Source organism: Homo sapiens, chromosome 5 (assembly GCF_000001405.40).
Source record: "Homo sapiens chromosome 5, GRCh38.p14 Primary Assembly".
Classification (NCBI taxonomy): domain Eukaryota; kingdom Metazoa; phylum Chordata; class Mammalia; order Primates; family Hominidae; genus Homo; species Homo sapiens.
The window spans coordinates 158,913,949-158,936,453 of record NC_000005.10 but is presented as its reverse complement, the minus strand read 5'-3'; the positions used below and the strand labels follow the sequence as shown (position 1 = coordinate 158,936,453).

General features: G+C 40.1%; 1 protein-coding gene across 28 annotated transcripts in view, besides 1 other annotated feature; it reads left to right on the top strand.

The window, feature by feature from the left end:
* Nucleotides 1-22,505, top strand: part of EBF1 (EBF transcription factor 1) — a 403,997-nt gene that overhangs the window by 163,463 nt on the left and 218,029 nt on the right. The window lies entirely within an intron of this gene.
* Nucleotides 20,851-22,500: an enhancer, noted in NCBI's record as "VISTA enhancer hs230". NCBI's record gives its function as "enhancer in: neural tube[7/8]" and the evidence as "EXISTENCE:transgenic organism evidence [ECO:0001131][PMID:17130149]".

The window sequence follows — 22,505 nt, the reverse complement described above, 5'->3', positions numbered from 1 at the left end:
CTTTACAACTTTAGGTACTATTATTACCTTTACATAGGAAGGAGGAAACCACGTCTCTAGGATACAAAGTAACAAACCTGAACCTGAAGTCACAGAGGTGGCAGGTGGCAGCTGAGTTTGAACTGAGACCCTTTGCCTGCAGTGTCTGTTCTCCTGTGCTCTCTGCTATATATATGTGGGTCATCCATTCATGATCAGCTGAGATGGGAAACTGAGGCAGGAAATATGGTTCACAAGGTAGCTAATCAAAGACCATTTTCATGTGTTATCCCATGTCACCTCCCCTTTGCTGGTCTTGGCAAAAAAGCAAAAATGGAGGTAGCAAGGCATTTTGTGTTGTCAGACACCTAGGGAACATGCACATATATTTATTTATCATTTCATTGGTTGCTTTGGAAAGAGGATGGAAAACCAAGCCTCTCCTTTTTTAAAAAATATTTTCTAATCCAGTAGCATCACATAATTCAACCAGTCTATCTTGGGCTATTGAGGAGCAGAGGGATCTGTCTCAGACAATGGCCACCCAGTGCAAAGATAGCTGAATAAAAATGAAATATGAATCATCTACTTATTTGAAAAACCTCTGGGTTCTTGGCAGATTTTTGGAATCATATATATTGGCTTTTTCTGGCATATACCCAGCACAGAGTGGGTGTTTGTCATGAATTTGTTTAAATGAATACATGGTCCCTACTTCAGATACATTTTGCACTTTTTTGGGTGAGAGTTGTATAAATGTGCTCCAGCCAAGAAATGGCTCATTATAGTGATGGGAATTGTGATCATCTTAAACAGAGTCACTAAAGGGAAGAAAATAATCATGTTAGTTTGTCTTTTTCTATGTGCTATCCTTTTGATAAATGCCTTTTTTGGGAGATGGGTCTAGTTTTTCTTCTGCATATGTTTTCTAATCATTTGTATGTATCTGTGTGTGCACGCGTGCACATGCAGTGAGTCTGCAGCAGTGGATATAGGGTGTTCTACCAGCTGGCCTGCCCCAGTTCACTTATGCTAATCTGGGAGTGGGACAGCAGCACCTGTGCCCATGGCTCCCCAGAGGCTTGCTGGGCAAGCGGGGTGGCTGTGCTGCAGCAGCACATTTGCGTCTCCGGAATGTGTCCTCAGCTCCTTGGTGCCTCTGGACTGTGCTCTCTGAGTTCACCTTAACTGTGCCCTCGGAACACAGCCTCTGACTGGCTGCTGCCTCCAAGATGCCTCTGGCAAACGCCTTGTTCTCATCTTCTCTTGGGCAGGGGAATAGGATGAGGGGCGGGGAGCTGGATGAAGGACACTTGCCTGCCCGAGCACCTCCATTGAGGCCAAACAAAAACTGGGTCCACCATTTCCCAAGAATAAACACTAGTGCCAATTTTTCTTAAATGTATTTTAATCTAATAGATTAAAAAATGTAGTGTAGTCAGTTACATCTTAGGCTCTGGAGCCAGCCTGCCTGGGTTGCACCCTGGCTCTAACACATTTTTGTTGAATCTTGGGCAAATTAAACTCAACAAGTCTGTTTCCTTTTCTGTAAAATGGGGATAATGATAATGTCTGCCTTGTAGACTTGCAATGAGTGCAATCATATACATAAAGAATTTAGCTCAGGGTCAGGCTATAATTTTTACTTACTGCTTCTTCTGGGAAGGACATTTAGTGAATACTATGTGCCAGGCACTGTGCTAAACGTTTTACATATGTTGTCTCCTTTGATCTTCATAACAACCTACTAAGGACATTGAAGTTATTTGACTAAATAACTTGTGGGAATTCTAACTCAAATAGTTATGAAATTAACAGAGGAAAAATGTTTGGACTGATTATAAGTTCTACAGTGCCAGACTCTGTACTCTTTCCAAATATTCAACACTGCCCATTGCAAGGTCTGTCTGAGAGTTGAATTTTGAGTGAGTTATTTGAACTACGAAAAACCTTTGAACTTGAGAGCTGGAGAAAGAGGAAGAAAAAGGTCAGTCCCAAGATCTTTCACTCTGGAAGCTTCCATTTCTCTCTCTTTCAAATGACCTCCCCTCATATCTCTACAGAGTGGTATGGCATGCAGTCTTCCAGATAACTTTAAGGAGACAATTCAGCATGGCGATGGTGGGATTGCTCTTGTACGAGTGTGTATGTGTGTATGTGTATGTGTATGAAGTGCACTGTACTACACTGGCATTGCAGAGGTTGTTGAATGAATGAATGAAGGAAGGAACTAATATGCATATAAATGACACATGGTTCTAAAGTGAGATTCGGCTCCCATAAGTCATTCAGGAGAGTCTGTGTCATCCCTTTAACCTGGTAATCATACCACATACACACTCCTACACCCAACACACACACACCATTCTCATTTGCCTGTGTGTAATGGGCATGGTGAAATCTGCCTGTGGCTCCATATCATGGTTTTGAGATTCTATTTTCAATAGTACGATAGATACTGAATGAGGGCAAGTTTCGTTTTTGTGTAATTCAATAAAAGAGCAAAATACAAAAAAGAGTCATTAAAGCATTGTGACATCAACGCAGACTGTCCTTTGTGGAAGTGCAAAGCAGAGGAGGTGCTGTGTTTACTGAAAGATCTGTGCTTTCAATTTATTCATTTGGGTTCTTTTGTTTTGGGGTGTGAGCAGATCTAATTTATTTGTTTTTGTATGCTTACTTTAAAGTGAAAAAGAAACCTATATTGAATGCCTACTATTTCTCCAGCTCTGTGTTAGGTTACTTAGCTTTTACACACCCTTTGAGAAATAAGGTGAGTGACCATTGGCTCAGAGAGGTTAAGTCACTTGCCTGAAGTGGCAGAATTACTAAGCAACAGGACAAAGATGCAAGTCCTGGTCTCTCTGTTCTCAGCTGTCTTTCTTCCTCCTCATAGCTTTGAAAAGATTCAAACAAACAATCAGTGAACCCTTTAATGAGTAGTTGAATTTTATTTACTCTCCAGTAGGGAAAAATCTATATTATTTTTCTGAGCATCTCCAAAGCCCACATAAATCCTGTTGTATTAAGAATTTGATTGGGAAAATGTTAAGCATACAATTTATTGATCCCCTCATCTCCAGCTGACAAGATGGCTTGTTTTGTGCACCTCTTTCGGTGTCTTCATTTTAGTTGTAATTATGTTATCCTTCATAAGAATGATGGTTGCCTATAGTGGTAAGTTTTCTACCTGCAGCTGAACTATCCCCGCTTCCTTTAGCAAAAAGCAATTTCAAACATTTTTTTTTTTTGAAAAACAGTCTCTGGGAAAAAGTTTACATGTCAAAATATTTCTCCCAGTTTGCTTTGAATTTTTAGTTTTCAAAATTTAAGTGATACCCCGTATGTATGTATTGACAGTTTCTCACTGATTAGGAAGAAAAAAATTAAAAAAACAAAAGAGTAAATGAACTGAGCCTTGGCTACAATTATCCTAAGCCCAGTGAAAGGAAAAGTGGCTTCAGAAGTTCTGAGGGATCAGAGACCAGGGTGTCTATCACTCTGTAAAGTGAGTAAATAAATCCTTCAAGGAAAATATCTACCCATGAGGATCTTGGACCATGCTAAGAAATGATCTGGGCTCCAAATGTTACACTCTTGTCTCATGTGAATCTACAGGCAACTTTATACAAACTGAGGTAACTATTATGGGTTTGATGTACAGAGATACTTTTAAAGGAGTGTTCTGGGAGTGCCCTACTAAAAGTCTCATAATAGCAGTTCCAGCATTTCAGTAATCTCTGGGCTTGAATGTGGCTAAATAGTTATGAAGTTCATAGAGGAAGTATGTGTGTTTGGACTGATTATGTTATAAATTATGTAATGATATAAATTATACCATAATATAAAACTTCTAATAACATCTGGGTATATTCTAAAAAAGACATATTATTGAATTATTTTATAATTTTCATATTTAAAATGAATACTTTTTACAAAGTATAAAGATAAACATTAAAATTGCCTTTCACTTTATCTTCCCTCAATAACCACTGTTCACGCTTAGGTATCTGTTTTCTACTCTTTTATTTTATTGCTTACATAAATAGATGCATTGAAATTTATGAATATGAGGACATATGTGTTATACCTGATGTTACATCTTTAGCCCTCTCCTTGTTGCTATTTTTATTAATATGCATTCTGAGAACACATGTTTTTTAATGACTGTATAATATTGTATCATGTGGATATATCATCATTTATCTAACCAATCTGCAATTGTTAGACATTTAAGTTTTTAATTTTTTCATTTTTATAAATAATGCTTTGATAAGCATCCCTGATTTCCTTATGATAGATTCCTAGAAGTGCAATTACAGGCTCAAAGGATATGAATGTTTTCAAATTCTTGATGCAATACCAAAGTGCTTCCCAGAGAGGCTGTGCCAATGTGTGCTCCCTCCCCTCCCACGGGTGAGAGTGCCCATCCACTGTATCCATACTGGTGCTGAGTGCTATCATTACTTGACATCTTTGCCATTTTATTAAAGAGCATATGGCTGGTTGCTAAAGGTAAGGTGGCAAACAAAAAAAACTGTGAAGAGAAGCAGAAGTTTAAATTCCAGACAATAAATGAAAATTGGTAAAGGCATCTGGTTCTTCTAGAAACATCCTTCCATTAATTTGTAGATGAGTATCTCCTATTTCTAGGAGGATGTGTCAACATTTCACAGCCTCCTAGAGTATTAGCTGCCCCTATGCCTCTCTCTATATATTCTCATCTGGCATTAATGCACATTAGATAGGGATTTGGAATGTTTACCACCTTGTTAGAACTTCTGAGCCATTTCTAATTTCTTTCCTATGCTGAACCCTCCAATAAAAAGCAAGTGACTGTTTATATAATATTAGAGCATTTTGAGGTACCTCTGCAGCTAACTAGTTTAAAAATGACAAATTAAGTCAAAGTTTGATTTGCTCCATGATACTGATGTTTGCATTTCCTGAGATGTTTCAGGGAACTGACTAAAAATTTTGATGGAGACAGTCTTTGAGAGTGTTCTAAAAAACTCCACGAGGTCATCTAATTCAACCCCTTGCTCTAGGATCAAACCAGCCCAAAACATGAATACCATGAGGAAGGAAAACAATTTTCATTTTTCATTCACAGTAGTTAAGTGTATTGACAAAATCCCCCGAACACCTGCTTTTTCCTGATCTGTGGCTGGGTAGTCAGTAAATAAGTGTGGAGTATGTTGAGCTTACTCTGAATCAGCAACACCGCTATAGGAAAAATAGTGACCGCTTTAAGTTATAAAATGTGATGGGTCAGAATGGCTTTTCTTTGGCATTTAAAAAAAGTAAACTAGAAATGGGCAGCTTAGTGGGAAATAATTACTGTTGGCTAAAGCAGGTGAGATATGGGACTGGACCTGCTGCTTTGATGAAGAGTTTGCTGTGCACAGCATCATCATTTCCATCGTAAGAAAATCAGAGATGTTCAGCAAAGCATTGCTTATAAAAATGAAAGATTAAAAATGTAGATGTCTAACACTGGACCCCCATTTGCAAAGAAACAGGCTGCCATAGAAACACTGTAGAGCTTTTTAGTTTGTGCAAGATATGAAAATGTGTTTTTTTTTTTGGGTAACCTGAGAAAATTAAAGGAGACCATTTTGAATTGCAGAGGTGGTATGACTTGGTGAGATTGGAACAGGGCTTATACTTGCTTTGCCTCTGACCTGGGATAAATTACTTTGCTCAGTTTACCTTATCTGTAAAATGGAGGCATTTTAATACTTGCCCCCCATTAGATGCCTTAGAAATGTGAACAAGCATTTTGAATTCTTATGAAGAAGGCAGTGTGGAAATTCACAGTGTGATAAATAAATTCCTAAAATGCATCATACAACCATACTTGTGTTTGGGAGACTGGAACCATTTTAAAGAAAAAAGTATCCAAAGTATCCCATTCTTGTTCAAGTCAAATGCTGAATTGTGTAGTGGCACAGCCTATGCTACCAGGGTAGGACTACATAGCTTTACCTCCAGGGCATGGGAAGGTGGGCAGCTCAGTGTGATCAGAGGCGCAGAACCTGCCGCATGATGGCCAGGCTCAGAGGAGCATCTTTTTACCCATATCTTGTTGATTCCAGCTTTCCTTGATTAGTCATTTGCATGCTCATTTTTGTTCTGTTCCTCTCTGGCGGGGTCTGTTAATTACTAAACATGGGAGACTTAACAACCAAAAAAAAACAAACAAAAAAAAAAACAAAAAAACTAGAAAACAGCTCGAGCCTTTTTTGCTCAAGTTTTGTTTTAGGTCCAGTAATTTGAATTGGCAGCCAAAGGAAAAAAAAAAGTAACAGATACACCTGACTAACTTGCATTTCGTATTTCTAACACTCAAAAGTACAATGCTTATGGTAATGAATTTTATCTATTACGAGGGAAAACAATCACCTTTGATGACATTATAGAATAAACACATTTAACAGCACGCTGAATTGCTGAAGTATCATTTTCAACGACCTCATTAGTGTCACTTAATTAAAACTTCCTGCTCTTGACTTTGATGCTGGTACAGGCAAAAACACAGAGGGAATTGAACAAACAACAAAAAAGGTGTAGGGGGTGCATTTTCTAGTGATAAATCGCAGAGGTTGCTAATGAAACCGAATTATGTACCTTTTTCCTGCAACTCCCATAAAATAATCTGAAACACGCAGCAACTTTGCATCAAACAAATTAATCAGCTGTCAGCAGATTTGCCTTATAATAATCTTTTGCACTTATTGATCATTTAAAAAGGGGAGGGGCTTTTTTTCTCTGTACACAAGCATTAGGTTGGTGATAATTAAAGCCTCAGCTTCAGAAATGCCATAATAACTGTTAATTAGCAGGATGCTATTTTCAACATAATTTGCTAATTAGGCAGTGAGCTGGTATAGTGTATATACCTAATTATGAAGGGTCTTGTGCTGTAGACACATGTGACTGGAGTGTAAATGACACCATTATAGGGGTCCTAGCAGACTTTTTAAAAATATAGTTTGTTCAGAAGTACTTAGTTCTTTAGGGACTTCTTCGTATAGGGAATATTACTCTTGGCTGTTTTGCATGAGGCTTAGAAGAGGAAACATTATGTAGAAATATACCATTTCTTTTATCTGTACTGTGGACAGACAGGGTCACTAATTCTAAAGAAGCTTTGTCGCCTGATGCCTGATACAAAGGCTGATAATTTAGGCACTGAAGTTGTACATACTCTACTAGTAGAGAATTACTCTCTGTTTGCTTGCCACACGCGATTCATCTGTGGACCAGGACGCTCTAAATCTTTTAATATTATATGTCTGCCATACTTTGATTTTTCTGCCACACACTGATAACCTATAACATGTATCTCTCTGCCTCTGTCTCTCCCTCCTACTTTTCCCTTCATGTCATAAAGAAAATCTAGACTTTTCGAAAATGGATGTTTATTTCTGCCTGGTTTCTTCTCTAGCCCAGTGTCTAACTGTCTTGATTTTTAAAAAAAGATTTAAAAATTTTTAAAAGAGAGGAATGATAAAACACAAAAAGTAAGGGTGAGCTGTCATGCAAAAGTCTCAAATTATATGCATATTAGCAATATTTATGAGTTTAAATTTGGCTTTTCAGCAGAGCATAAGCAGAGTGAGATCATTTGCAGATATATAAACTGGCTTCCTGGATCATAATAGCTGATTTCTTTTAAATGTTTTACCTTGTTTCAAATAAAACTATATTTCTTTATTCCCTTTAAACGAAATGAAAACTTAATTCAATAATAAATGAGCTTCAGAGCAGCACAAGAGTCACTTAACTTAAATCTTTTTGTAGAGGTTCCCACTTAAGCGGCTTGAAAGACAGTAAATCACACTGAAGAATGGACATCCCAATTTCATTGCTGCGCTGTAGAGAGCTGAATTAATGGCCTTCTCTTTAGAATGTATGGATGTGCTTTCCAGCTGCTAAGCCTGACAGTGTTATAGCTCAATTAATGTGATTTTGATGTAATTGCAGATAGGGAGCATGGTGCCAAAAAATTATTTTTTTTCATAAGAATCACATTTTATCATCCAGATGTGGGCAGAGGGGTGCTTTTTAAAGCTGAATGTGATAAGTAACAGGGCTCCTATTTCTGTTTTTTTGATAATATATTTCTGAAAAAGGGGAGAACAATGAATGAACATATTTATTTATTGAACACTTACTATGTGCCCGGCACTGTGCTAAGCATTTTACTCTAACATATCATTTGATCTTTACAAGCCTATGGAGCAGGTCCTATTGTCATCCCCATTTCACAGATGAGAAAAATGAGTCAAAGAGAGATCAGGCTAGTAGAGGCAGGCCTGGGAGGGATTTGAACCCTTATGTATCTGACACCCTGAGATCATAATTAACCATCATATGGTTTCTCTCCAAGTTGTCCTCAGAGGCCTCTGGCTGGAGATAGTAGGATCCATAAATGTTTAAATGGTTAAAGCAACTTTTTAGAACATTATAGAGTGGTGTTGTGAGAAATAGGTTTTAGGCAGGCTGCCTGGGTGTGAAGCCTAGATCTGCAGATTTCTAGCTGTGTTTGATTTTAGGCAATCTGTTTAAACACCCTCATCCTGAGCTTCCTCAACTGTAAAGAGGGTGTACTAATGATGGCTTCTTCATATGATTTGTTACAAAGATTAAATGAGAGAATCTGTGTAAAGTGTTCAGAACAGTGCCTGGAACATAGTAAGTGATAGCAAAGATAATTGATAGCCAAACACAAGCCAGCAAGGTCATTGATCTCTTCCAGTACAGTTTTCTTTGCCTCATCTTATCTATTGGGTGCAGACGGCCTCTGGGAACTTGGCTGCCAATATTTTCTGGGAAGTACCCAGAATGGCATTTAGCATGATATGGGCTGTGCCTGCTGGCATTGATGTGAAAAAGGCCTTTCTTTTTTGAAGCCACTTTAATTCCTGTATTATTAGAATGAATAATGGTGCTAACTTGGAAAATGATAAGCTGTGTACTTGCTGGTATATATAGCATTACTTGCCAGCCCAAGCTCTGCTCATAGATATGAGGAAAGCACTGAATTTCAGGCACTGTTTGGGGCTCCGGGACACAAGAAGAAGAACAAAGCAGTGGTTCATGAACTGAAACAAAACTCAGGACACCTCTTGCATTCATGATAGAAGATCTAGTTAAGGAAAGAGCACGGAGAAAAATGATGACAACATCGATGATGATTATGATGGTAACTGGCATGTAATGAGTGCTTACTATTCGCCATTCTGCAAAGTTATCACATTCAATGCTCACGATATTTCTACAGATAAGAACTAGTGTTATCCCTACTTATAGTTGATGGAAATGAACATCAAAGAAGTAATTTGTCCACAGTAATACCGCTGCAAATCTTTTTATGCATCTTCTCACCTCAGATCCACATTGCATAGATGGGGTGAAGCCACCTTAAATTTGCCTTGAGTTATGGGTGAAGGCAGGTAGGGTCAAGAGGCCTGGATTACTTTTATTTCTTGGCATTCATTGCATCAACAAGGAAGGCTTGCTTTTCCACTGGCTCGTTGCTTTGTAAATAATAACGTCCTTTATTTGTGGTTGTATTGATTCGGTTGCAATTAATACATTACTAAAGTCTGTATAGACAACTTATTAAGAGGGCTATTATTTGTACAATAAATCCTGGGCATTTTCATTGCTGTGGACCAATAATTTAAATAAGATAGTTCTTTCTTTCTTTTTCTTTTTTCTTTTCTTTTTTTTTTTTTTGAAATGTAGTCTCTCTGTCTTTGTCACCCAGGCTGGAGTGCAGTGGCTCAATCTTGGCTCACTGCCACCTCTGCCTCCTGGGTTCAAGCGATTCTTCTGCCTCAGCCTCCCAAGTAGCTGGGATTACAGGTGTGTGCCACCATGCCTGGCTAATTTTTGTATTTTTAGTAGAGACGGGGTTTCACCATACTGGCCAGGCTGGTCTTGAACTCCTGACCTTGTGATCCACCCACTTTGGCCTCCCAAAGTGCTGGGATTACAGGCGTGATCCACTGCGCCCGGCCAATAAGATAGTTATTTCTAATAATATACTGGGTTGGAACATTTTGACATCTAATAATCCTAATGTGTATGGTGATGTCATTGTTTCTTATTGTTACCTTCAGAATCAATATGCAAAAGTTAATATTAAATTTTGACATCACAGGGGATGCATTTATTAAGATATAACAAATGCGCTATCATTTGCTTATAAGTAGACCTAAATAGAAATGAGCTAGGGTGCTTGGTATACTTGTTGAAATACACATAGATATGAAGAGTTAGGCTTTATTATTTTTATAGAATAATAGTTATGGAAAGGATTTTTGGGGGTTTAGAAATATAACCCTTATATTAAAGGCACATTTCAATGGTGGAAGTATAAATAAAATGTATTAAGCAGGCACTATTTGCTTTTATAATTTTGTCTTGAAGTAAACCTCCAACTTTGAAGCTATTGAAAGAAATTCCTCTTGTACCATTTTGATTCATTTTCTTTTTAGAGCCCACCAAACTTTGTTCCTGGACACATGGGTAGTGGGAATAATATTGTGGACTGTTTCTGTTCTTATGTATTAGCACACTGATTCTCTTCCAAGAGCATGACCTTCTCAGTTTAAAAACAGTTGATATATTAATTAGAATTAAGTTAGGTTGTAATTAATTCCCACTCATCTCCACCCACCACACTCCTACCAAATAACAGTAGCTTAAGTAACAGAAGCTTGCTTATTTGTTTGTTTTCCTGTTTAGGAAATCTGGAGATGGTGCAGTGTGGGGTGTGGCTCTGTGATGTTGGGGCCCTGGTTTCTATTTTCTTCTGTTGTGCATGGCTACAATTCCCAAGGTCACCTAACCATCAGAGAGAGTTGCTGGAGCTTCAGCCTTTACCTGCACATGGTGGCCAGTGGAAGGAGGAAGGAGAGAAGAAGAGGGAGCCCTTTCCCTTTGGAGATCTTTGAGGAAGTTACACTTATCACTTCTCCATGCATCCATTGGTCAGAATTAGTCACATGGCCACAAGGGAGGCCAGGAAATCTTCCATTTATCTATCCAGTTATGCACCATTCATTTACTTAACAAATATTTATTGTATATTCACTCTGTGTTTGCTTTATTCCTGGCAATAAAGAGGTGAACAGGCAGACAAGGCCCCTATTCTGATAGCTCTTGCATCCTAGCAGGGAGCTAGACAATAAGATAAAAGTGATATGTGCTGTGAGGAAAATAAAGCAGGTTGATTTCATAAAGAGGTGATTCATGGCCACCGATAGGGATTACTTTAGATTGGGCAGTGAGAGATTCCCTTTCCAGAAAGGCGACCCAGCTGGTGAATGCATTGATTTTGGGTGTGAGGAGAACTATTTCAGGCAGTGGGAACAGCATGTGCAAAGGCCCTGAGATTGGGGTGAGTTTAGTTTATTTGAGGAACAGAAAGAAAGCTGCACACAGTGGCAAGAGATGGCTGTAGAGGAGTAGGCAGGAGTGGGGCCATGCTAGAGATTGGATTTCCTTCTAAAAGCAGCAAAAACCATTTAGAGGGGAGGCTAAACTACAGAAAGGAAGGATGGGCACGTGATTCAGTTTATCTTTTTTTTTTTTTTTTTTTTTTTTGAGACAGAGTCTCGCTCTGTTGCCCAGGCTGGAGTGCAGTGGCGCGATCTCGGCTCACCACAAGCTGCGCCTCCTGGGTTCACGCCATTCTCCTGCCTCAGCCTCCGGAGTAGCTGGGACTACAGGCGCCCGCCACCACGCCCGGCTAATTTTTTTGTATTTTTAGTAGAGACGGGGTTTCACCGTGTTAGCCAGTATGGTCTCGATCTCGTGACCTCGTGATCCGCCCGCCTCGGCCTTCCAAACTGCTGGGATTATAGGCGTGAACCACCGCACCCGGCCCAGTTTATCATTTTTAAAAGATCATTCTGAATGCCACATGGAGAAAGGTGTAGGAAACAGACCTATGATGCTGCCTCACTCAGCTGTGGCTGGTGTGGGGAGAGAAGGATTTGCCCTCTGCATCTATGTCTATGTTGAACAAATGAAGGAGATTTTCTTTGTCCAGTGGCATCCAGGGATTTGTGTTCTGCCAGGACCTTACGATGTGGCTTTTGCAACACACTGAAAGGACCTGCATGTTACAGAGACATGAGGGAATTGCGTGGAAAACCTCCTTCCACTCTGCAGCATCTGGCATGAGGAAGGTAGTGAGCTTTCACAGCGAAAAGGCAGAAAGACTGCAGGTGAAATGGAACAACAGCCCACCACGTAATTTGCCTTCTCGGCAAATTGTTTACCCATCATGGGGCAGAGCTGATGTAGATGGGCTGCCTGAGCCCCAGGGTGAACCCAGGAGTGGAATGCTAGGGGATAAAAAGTTAGATGACTAAAAACTTTGTCTTGTCATTCTCACAAGGGACAATGTTTTGTGAATAACACATCTGAGCTGCGGAGAAGGTCTCAAGGGCTTAAAACTAGTGATTAAAACAGTACAACTCTGTGTGAATGTAGTTTCAAGTAAGACCATTAAAATGTTGCTGTACCCAAAAAAGGCTAAAAGAAAGAGGCAGTAAACAATGCCCAGGTTTGGCTTTTGAGCTCAGAGGTAATTGCTTTTGAATCTTCCTTTTGACTGGTCCATCACTAGTTCACGAAATTTGAGATTTGTTGATTCAGAATCATTGAGACTTGGATCTGAAAGGGACCTTACAGTGAAATGGGCTGGGCACTGGTTTTACACATGGGTACAATTTGAGACCCAGAAGAGGCGTGGCTTGTCCAGTTTCTTGATTTAAGCTATTTCCTCTAGAGCAGACTTAAGGAAACTAATAGTATATCCCTTTGGTATAACGTGGCTTTTTTCAAATCCCACCTCCCGCCACCCAGCACTTTCATTCTTTGCCCGATATTGCAGAAGCTCAGCAGAGCTACATGGCTTCAACAAAACTAAATTTCCTGTTTTGTAATAAAATTGATGGAGCGATCTGAGACCCACCCTCCATAATAAGGCAAAATTTCTTAAAATATTTTGAAAGTGGCAATATTTTCTCTAAGGAATAACTGAAAGATGGATTCATTTTCATCATTAAATATGGGATGAGAATGCCAGATAAGTTTTAATCTGTAATTTTAAGAGAAGGAGAGAGAGGAGGAGATGATTTTTATGGATAAAGTAAGGTTGGGGATATACTTTGAAAAGGAAGCTTTTCAGGCAGCTGTTAAAATCTTTAAAAAAATTTTACCCCCATTGGAAGGGTGTTACTTATCACCTGGACCTGGAGAATTTTAGAGCTTTAGGAATAAACTGACAGTTCTCTGATTCTGAGCAGTCTAGCTTTGCTTTGATGAAGAGGCTAACGCTCTTCCTGGGTTTTGCTGGAAAGCCCCAAGGCCTTCGGGCTCCACGGAGGGGCTTTCTGCGTTCAAATCGCCCCTCCTGCTAATAGACCACCTAATTGGCTAATTGTAGGCTCAGCCATTCATTTCGGCTGCAATTAGCCACTTACTTCTTACTTTGCAGATACAAGTGGCCACTTGAATTCTCAAAAAGTCCATTGTGAATTCAGTTATTTGTGTGTCTCATTCCACCTGGACAGAGAGTGGTTAGAAAAAAGAGTAAAATAAAATAAATGATAGTCCTTGAAATAAAATCCCTCTGAAATCTGGCTCAGGCTTTCTCAATTCTGAAGTGACAATAACCTGAACAGTTCTTTTTTCAAAAAATGCACATTAAACATAAGACACACATATATCCCAGTAACTGGAGACTTAATTTTTCTCTTAGTGTCCATAATGTAGAGCAAGACATACCCACCTGCTGTTTTTCAGCTTCTTAACTTTCCGTAAATCTACTTTTCCAACCCTTAGATCTGCTGTGTGTAATTTAATTGGCTACTGTACCTTTCTGTATAAAATGAATGTGCTAATTTCTAGAGTGATGCATTAATTCTCTTTGTTATCCACAAAATTCTGGAGAAATGGAAGATCTATTTTAAATGTCTGCCCCTTGCTGACTCTGTCTTCCAGCAAAGTGGAAGAACTATTGTTTTCCTACACCCTTTTGATGTGGTCGGTTATTGTTATGTTGGGTCAAAGGGACTTACCTGGGGGATGACAGATGCAGACACTCTGCCACCAGCTTCCTTAGAAGTGCACAATAGCAACCAAATCAAATCACTGAGAGGATACTGGGTAGAAAGTTGCTTTTGGGGAGAATTCTAGGAAAGAGAAGACTGTGACCTCTGTTACTGCACAATGTCAAGGACAGATGGGAAGAAGGTATGAATCAATATATGTCAACGGCACAGATGGTATAGCCATACAGTGTCCACATCCTGATTTTCTATCCCCTGAAACTGAAATTAATAATGCCTTCATTATAGGCAGTAGCTGCCAAGCAGCTGAGAGAACCCAGCACAACTAAGAGCACTGCTCTGAGCAAGGTGTTTGAAACAGGAGTTTTCGCTGTCTGTCTCTGTCTCTCTCTCTCTTTTAGAAGATTAGGAATGCTATGGATCGTGAGGCAAAAGGGAATCATCTTTTGATGCTGAGTTTTACAGGTTCAATAAACCAAAGATAGAGCAACTGTGGTTGCTTCGTGCTTTGCAATATGTTTGTGCCAGGGAATCTTTCCCCAGGTTCTGGCCATGTCATAAGGGAGAGGGTTAACTTTGCTGTGCCAATTATTGGGCTTGCGGTGTTGAAGATCTCAGACCAGGGTTGGAAGTGGAGTGCAAAGTAAAAATAAGCAACCACAAACCGCCAAAACAAGTATTGGTACATCTCTACAAGCTCCGGCTGGTAATGATGAATTCAGTATTCATCACATGGACTAATTAATGCACGCTAACACAGCCCAGTGCAATTTGCGAGTCACAGATTGCATTAGGTGATACAAATGACTCATTTGTGAACCTGAAGGATGACCTTTGGCAGGACTATCTGCTGACCTCAAAAATATTAAAGAAAGGTTATTTCACCTTGCCATTGTCTCCAAATGCCAAAATAGCCCAATTAAAAACCTTGACTTGGAACCATAGGAGCAGATGCGAGTCCTAAAGGGCATTAATTATTTTCAGTGTCAGCTGGTTGTATAACTGAGGCCAAATGAGAGTTTGGAAAGCTATTAAGGCAGTGTATTATATGCACTGGGTCTAAGATTTGAATTCAGAATAAGGTGTAGATTTCATCTATTTAGGCAAGCTGTATAGAATTTGTGCTGGCTGTCCTGTTAAGGATTAAGGGCTAACATAGGCGAAACGAAGCTCATCACCCTTGCTGGGTTCTTCCCTCTGTAATCATTCATCTATTTTCCTAAGTCTATTTGCAGAACCATCATTAGTTACCATATTGTGAGGTCAAACGCATAAACGTGTGCAGCATTAGCTTGCTTCCAAGTGGACTTTTCTCCCTCTCTACAAGTCTAAGCACTGCAAATGATCCTGTACTATTTCCACCCCCAAATGTGGTGACAGATGAAGATATGTACCCAAGCTAGGTTCCCATATGGCTAATTTCTACATTTGTTTTAACAACATGCAGATTTTTAGGCAAATTAAAACACAGGGACTTCCATATTCATGGCATCCTCTCCAGTGCTGTCATCCCTTCCACCAAGTGGGTTTCAGGGAGTCACGCTGGTGCCAGAGCCTGCACTAAAAGGAAAAGGGGCAAGCATATCTATGAGGTGTGATTGACTCACAAGAGTTCCTGTTAAAAAAAAATGGAGCCAAGTGCAGTGGCTCATGCCTATAATCCCAGCTACTTGGGAGGCTGAGAAGGGAGGATCATTTGAGCCCAGGAGTTGCAGGCTGCAGTGAGCTATGATTGCACCACTGCACTCCAGGCTGGGCAACAGAGCAAGACTGTGTTTCTTTAAAAAAAAAAAGAAGAAAGAAAAGTTCCCTTGGCATTGCCTGCTGCACATGCCTTTCAAGTCACTAACTTTTACTGTGGACACTGGCCACCAAGGCCTGCCATGTGTCCAGTAGGTACAAAGCAGAGGTATTGGAGGGCAGGGAACGACATATTCTTTTCAGCCTCTTTAGAGCTGAAGTTTCAGATTCTGGTTCACCTTCACATCCAGTTGAAAGGGATGGAAAAGGTAGAACAATATGATAGGAAGTCCAGGGGTTTGGGGACCAGACAAATCTGGGTTTGGATCTCAGTTTGGTTATTTAGTTGCTGTGTAAACCTGAGCATGTCCCTAACTCAGCTTCAGCATCCTCACCTCAATCATGATACCTGATAGGATTGTTAAGAAGATTACATTAAGCATATGTGTGTATACACACACACATACACACACACACACACATATGTATATAATGAGCACCTTTTTTGGAATACATCTTTCTAAATATTGATGATTTGTAATTTCTCATATATATATGTTGCAAGTTATGTACACATATACCTAAAGAGGTGCTAGGATATCATGGTTATTGTTATTTTTATTGTGGGGAATTTATAGACAGTTTTCAGAGATCTGATTTTTTTCCTCTAGATTTTTCTTTCTGTCCTTTTGTGGGGCTATGGGCAATGCATATAGCAGAAAAACACAGCTTAGAAATTAGAGTCCTGTCTTTAAAGCCCTGTTCAGTTGGAAAGTTGCTTAATCTTGATAAACTTCAGATTCCTATCTGTAAATTGGGATAATAATATGTACCGTCGTGTTTTTTGAGAGGATTAAATGAGATAATCGATGCATATGGTGCTTGGCATTTGGTAGGAGTTTGATCAATAAATGCAACTTTACTCTCCTTGCCCTCAGAATATTCCTATCCTTTGTCCCCACATATGCTGTTAATAAGCCTTTAGTTGAGAGAAGATGTGGTTCTGTTTCAGGTTTCCCAGGCTAGTTCCCTGGTGTTTATTTATTCAAAAAAATGAGCACCGTTGTTGGAATATGTCTTTGCTAGACATTGATGATTTGTAACTTCTCATTCTCAAAGTTGAAGGGAGATCTGCTTTTTCATTTGGTGTCTTTATGTTTCTCTGTTGTTTTCCAGCACATTATTTGGTGACATCCCATGTTATAGATTAAAATATTGCAGGCATCAAGATTGTTCTCACTGGCCTCTCAGATATGATTGGTGTTATCTATGAGATAACCCTCTCCGGGGATTTTCTCCTCTGGCTACTTAGACCACATGTTACCCAAGCAACATGAGTACCATGTTCCCCCTACAAGGTTGTTATTATTCCAAACTTCCATTTCAAAAAAAAAAAAAATCTTAATTTCATCCTAAGACCCTCATAAATGCCAGCAGCTGATGAAAGCAGGTTTGTTTCTTGCTCTTTGGGAGGTGGCCACCCATGTCAGCACTGGAGAGTGTCTGCACATCCTCGCAGGCCCAACAAGTGCTAAACAGATGGAGTGAGTTCAGAGCTGAATTACCAAGGAGAAAATTCTGTTCTTTCACCAAATGTGATTTTTAACAGCCATTTGCAAAGAACTCTAGGCCATGGAATATTGGAAGGGTTGGCTTCATGGATAATGAATGCCTTAGTTGAAAGCCCATTCAAACTCTGTCAGCAGCTAATTTCTATATATAAGCCCTCCCTTAACCTAAATTTCAAGAAAGCAAGCATGCATTTCTGAATGCATGGGCTGACTTTGTACCAGAACGGAGCTTCCTATTGGACAGTAACTTGCCCTAATTTTGGTATGCCTTGCCCAGCACACAGGATGCTGCTCTGAGTATTTGGTAAATAAATAATAACTTCAGTGTTAGTCCATTCTCTCCAGAGATGAACCAATGTAAAGTAAGGGTAAGTGTGGGGAGTGGAGAGAGATGGGTGAGAGGTGGGTTTAGTTACATGAGCCCTCAGATAACCTTATCATAAAGTGGCTTAACTATACACACAGTGTTCCACTGAGGGATCAGTAAATTATTAAATCTCAGTTTCTCAGTCTTTCTGTCTTAGTCTCAATCTCTTTATCTCTTACTAATTCTCTGTCTCGTAACACTAATGGTAATCCATTCTTCCCCAGTATCAGTTCTCAAGCCTTAGCTCACAGAGAAATCACCTAAGAAACTAGTTAAAAGTGCACCTCATTAGAGTTGATGTCAAGAGTCTGTTTCTATAAAGTTGGGTGAGCCTGAGGATTCTGCCTTTTAACAGAACCCTCCTCCCCAACCCAGGAGATGCTAGTATAAATGGCCCTTAAGCCATGTTTTGGGAGAAGCTAGATGATGCTGATGGAGACCAACTTCCTTCACCATAAGCAAGGTTGCAAAATACAAGAAGACTGAAAGAGTTTCCAGTAGTTTGAGGGCTTTTTAATCATTGCTAGTATCAGTGGAATTCTTTAAACAAAATCGCCATAAAATTCTTCTTTCAAATGAAATAGAGAAAGCCTGCAAATAAAACCTCTCCCAAGAAAAGCTGCCCTGGCTGAAGGAGAGTGAGGCCTAGGGAGCCCTGCCACTTGCCTTCTCTCTCTCTTCTGTCTTCAATGGCCTCAGTGTTCTGGGCAGTGTTCCTAGAGTACACATCCCCCTTTCTTCCCAAAGGGACCCACGATGAAGGCCTGGGTCCCTGTGACAGGAAAGATGACCTCATGGGATATCTGAGTTCTAGCTCCAGCCTTTCCTCTTTGCTGCATGGCCTCAGGAAACTTATTTAACTTCCCTGACCTTCAGTGCATCCCTTGAGGAAAAAGAGGGAGTTTGGGCTAGATCAGTTTTTCTGGATGTCCCGTCATTCACAGACTCGCTGTGACTTTTGCTATAGATGAGTACCACCTGGAATATTTACTCCATATTTGTCTTTATAATAGAAGAAGTCTATTCACTGTTTCTTAGCTAAATATTCACTTAGGTTTTGAGCTAAGCAATGCTCTCTAAAATTAAAAGTTTGATGTGCCACTTACGGTTTTTCTTTCCTAACACACATGAAGATAAATACATAACCACTAACAAGTGTGTATACCTAAAATCAGTGGTTTGCACATGACCCTTGAGAAACATCAAGCCGGATGGTCTCTAAAGACCTCCTGCTCCATTCAGTGGAGCTGGTATCCAGGTAGGTCTGTGTTGTTATTACTTTGGAGGTTTACAGATGGGGGTAGGTTATAGGGAAAAACAAAGAAATCCTCCGAGTGTTATAAGCAAATGAAAGGAGTAAGGAGGACAAGAATTGCTTGTATTGCTGGAAAGAATGAGGGAACTGGAGGCTTGGAGAGTATGTACGAAGGATCTAAATGGTTCAAAGACAGCTTTCAATATTAATTTTGTAGAGACATAGGGCCACCAGCTGCTTGATTTTATTTAGGTATAATAGGCAGCTTAATAACTAAGAACATCATTGGTTTCTTGTTTGTTTCTTTTATTGAGTGTCAAAGAGCTAACAGTTTTTATTATAGATCTCCCAGGGCTGAAGTTGGCTAGTTAGGACAGTGGCAAGGCAGGACACTAGTGAAGAGTGCCAGGAAAGAGCCTTACCCTGTCCTTGGTATATTTCGAAAACTGAGCTCTAAATAAATGGTTTTCAAGAGACACGTTGTGGGAGGCAGAGGATGCTGAAGTCTTGCTTGCGGCACACATTGCAGAAGGAAAGACAATGTTTATGACCTGCTTATTGCATGGAAGGGGAGACAATGGCTCCAAATGTATACCCGCTGAGCTGGCTTGGACAATGCACGCAGACAATTCTAGCAGTCATGGTGGTCCAGAGTAAGGAAATAAAAAATGTAATTGAAAAGTGAGGGAAACTATAGCATGATTAAATTTGGCCAGCATTGAAGCACACAGTTATAACATGGAAGTCAGCCCAGAGTACATATTAGGTTAACAGCTTTGGCTTCAGAGATAGAGAGACCTGGGTTCAAATCCCATCTCTGCCACTTCCTGGATGTGATTGCTTGGACTAGGTACTTAATCTTTCTGAGCCTTAGTTTATTCACCTACTAAATGGATCTAATATATACTTCCAGGGCCACCTTAAGTATTTCATGACTTAAAGAACTTTGTACAATGTTTGGCATATAGAATAATATCTTAGTAAATTGTACATGCTATTTTTACATGATGATTTTATCTTGTTCTATCAAATCCAATGAGATAAGTAGTATATAGGTGGCCCGTAGAGATGGAAAGGAGATTGCTAAGACTCTGCCATTTTCCCAGAAGTGCCCATTGTGTGCCTCTGTAATGCTGCATTCTTATGACTAATATTAATCTTGAAAGATCATTACTTAATGATCTTGAGATATCCATGACAGGGTCACTTGTCCTGCCACATGAATCCTGACTAAGGTTTCAAGGACAAGAAGTCTTTGGACAGATAATTTCCATCCTTGGCATAAAGGCACTTCTCAGTAGGTTCAGGAGGATTAAGAAGAAGTAAAGAACTATGTATGACCTGACTGCAGTCTACTCAGCCAACATCAGCCAAATTTGGACCCCCCTTTGTCGGTCAGGAGGTCACCTACACTTGTCAGGAGCTACAGGTGTTGAAGGCATGAAAAGGCAAGATCTGTCAGGACATTGCGAATCAGTAAAACCAGACCTTTGCTCTTGAGAGACTCCCACACGTGAAGGTTCTTAATAAACTTTCTCACCTGCCAGAAAGTGTGAAAGCCTTGAATGTGGACCCCTTTTGATATGCCTGGCATTGTTGCATTGAGTTTTGTCATCCGTTTCTAGAAAAGATAAAGCAAGCTTATTTTATAACTTCTTTTCTTGTTTTTACTTACTATGTCTTCATCTTCATTAACGACAACAACCAAGAGTGCCAGAATTCTCTTGTAGCACTAACCCCCTTCTCTGCCTCCTTGTCTCCCTCCGTGAAAAGGCAACAGGCATCTGTTTCTTTAAGGGCCACAGATCTCCTTACTGTTTGTGCCATAACTAAGAGTTGCTTGTGTGTCTCCACGGAATTCCCCCCACCCCGATTGCTTTACATAAATGTCCAATTAATGCTAGTTAAAAGTTCTTGTTCATGATCTGTCTGAAGGGAGAGACAAAGAAGGGAAGCGGAGATGGCCCCGCTGCTGTGGCCATGTCCTACTTCTGTGATGCATTACCAGCAACTTCTTTCCACATGTTTTTGCATTGTTTCTTCTTACATTTATCCTCTGACTATTGTTTCCTTTTGTTCCAGCAACAGCTGGAAATGGTAAATTTGTGTTTTGAGCCAATGTTTTCCTTTGCCCTGGCATTTCTAAACATTTATTTTCCTACAATCCAAAAGTACCAGCAAAGAAGGCTTTTGGAAAGATCATCATCCCGGTGGCTGCCCATCGCCCTCCGAGGCTGTCCCTTTAAATGAGGCCCCCAGAGTTCACTTTCTGAAGTTCATTAGCTTGTGTTATCAATAATTTAGGATAATACTCCGGTAGAGCCTGAGTGCCTGGCCCGCCCCATTTTCACTGTCAGTTTTCTCATAGCCTAGCAGTCCAGTGAACTTGATAAGTGTCCCATCATCCTGTTAATCAAATTACTTATGAACTAAAATTGACAGTTTTCATTAATTATAAAGGATTATTCTAATTGCAATTCAAATTTATTCATTTAGAACAGACGGCATTCAGTAATATTTCAGGAAATTTGCATATTAAATGGAGAGGGTCGTCCATTAAGTATGGTAATGTATGCATATTTCCTTATTTTTAACTTCTAGGCCATATGCACTGCTGCTACTTCAGCAGGTGAAAAACCAGAACGTGCTTAATTTGTTCAACAAACACCGGGGCCAGAGCACATCTTTTGGCACTCGGTACTGGCATCCTTCTACCTTTATTCCTTCTGCCTTTCCTTTCCCCACCTCCTACCGCCCCACACACAGCCAAAACCGTGGTTGATCTTTCGAAGAAACTTTTTTGATAAACCTGGGCATTTCCCCCCCTCCTTTTCTTTTTCTTAAATGTAGGCACAGCTGGTAAGGGTTGATTGAAATGTTTTGCCATAGAAGCTGTGTTCATTAATTTCTTCAAGATGCTGAAGTAGGCATTAAGGTTGCCGGCTGGAGTCCTTCCCTGTGACATGTGGAACAGCAAGGGGCCTAATAGTCAGCCTTGTAACATCAACTGGTTACCCCCCTCGTGCGGCATGAACCTTTCCCCTCCAGTGAAAAATGAACCTGTCTGAGACAAAAGCACAAACCACGCATGCAATGAGACAGTGCCATTATTCACACCCATATAGGCTGTTTTCAGAGATCATTAAAAATCATATCTCCATGATATTAATAAGCACCTTCCCTGATCCAGGTCTCGGGTAACAGGAAGGTATATTTAGCACTGCCCCCACCACCTACCTAATCTGAGATCATGAATCTGGGAGGAAAAAAAATGCATGTAAGATGAAGGTTAACAAGCTGGTGTGGTAGGAGCCACTTGGCTTTTTAAACAGCTGGTGTGTCCCAGCTCTCCCTACACCAGGCCAAGTGGAGAAAGACAGGGTGTGGCCCCACCACATCAGGTTGTTTCTGATGACTTTTGCCTCTACTCCTCAGAAATTATTGATATCTGGTCTTAATGATCTGAAGAAAGCATCTGCCAGCTCATTCATCTC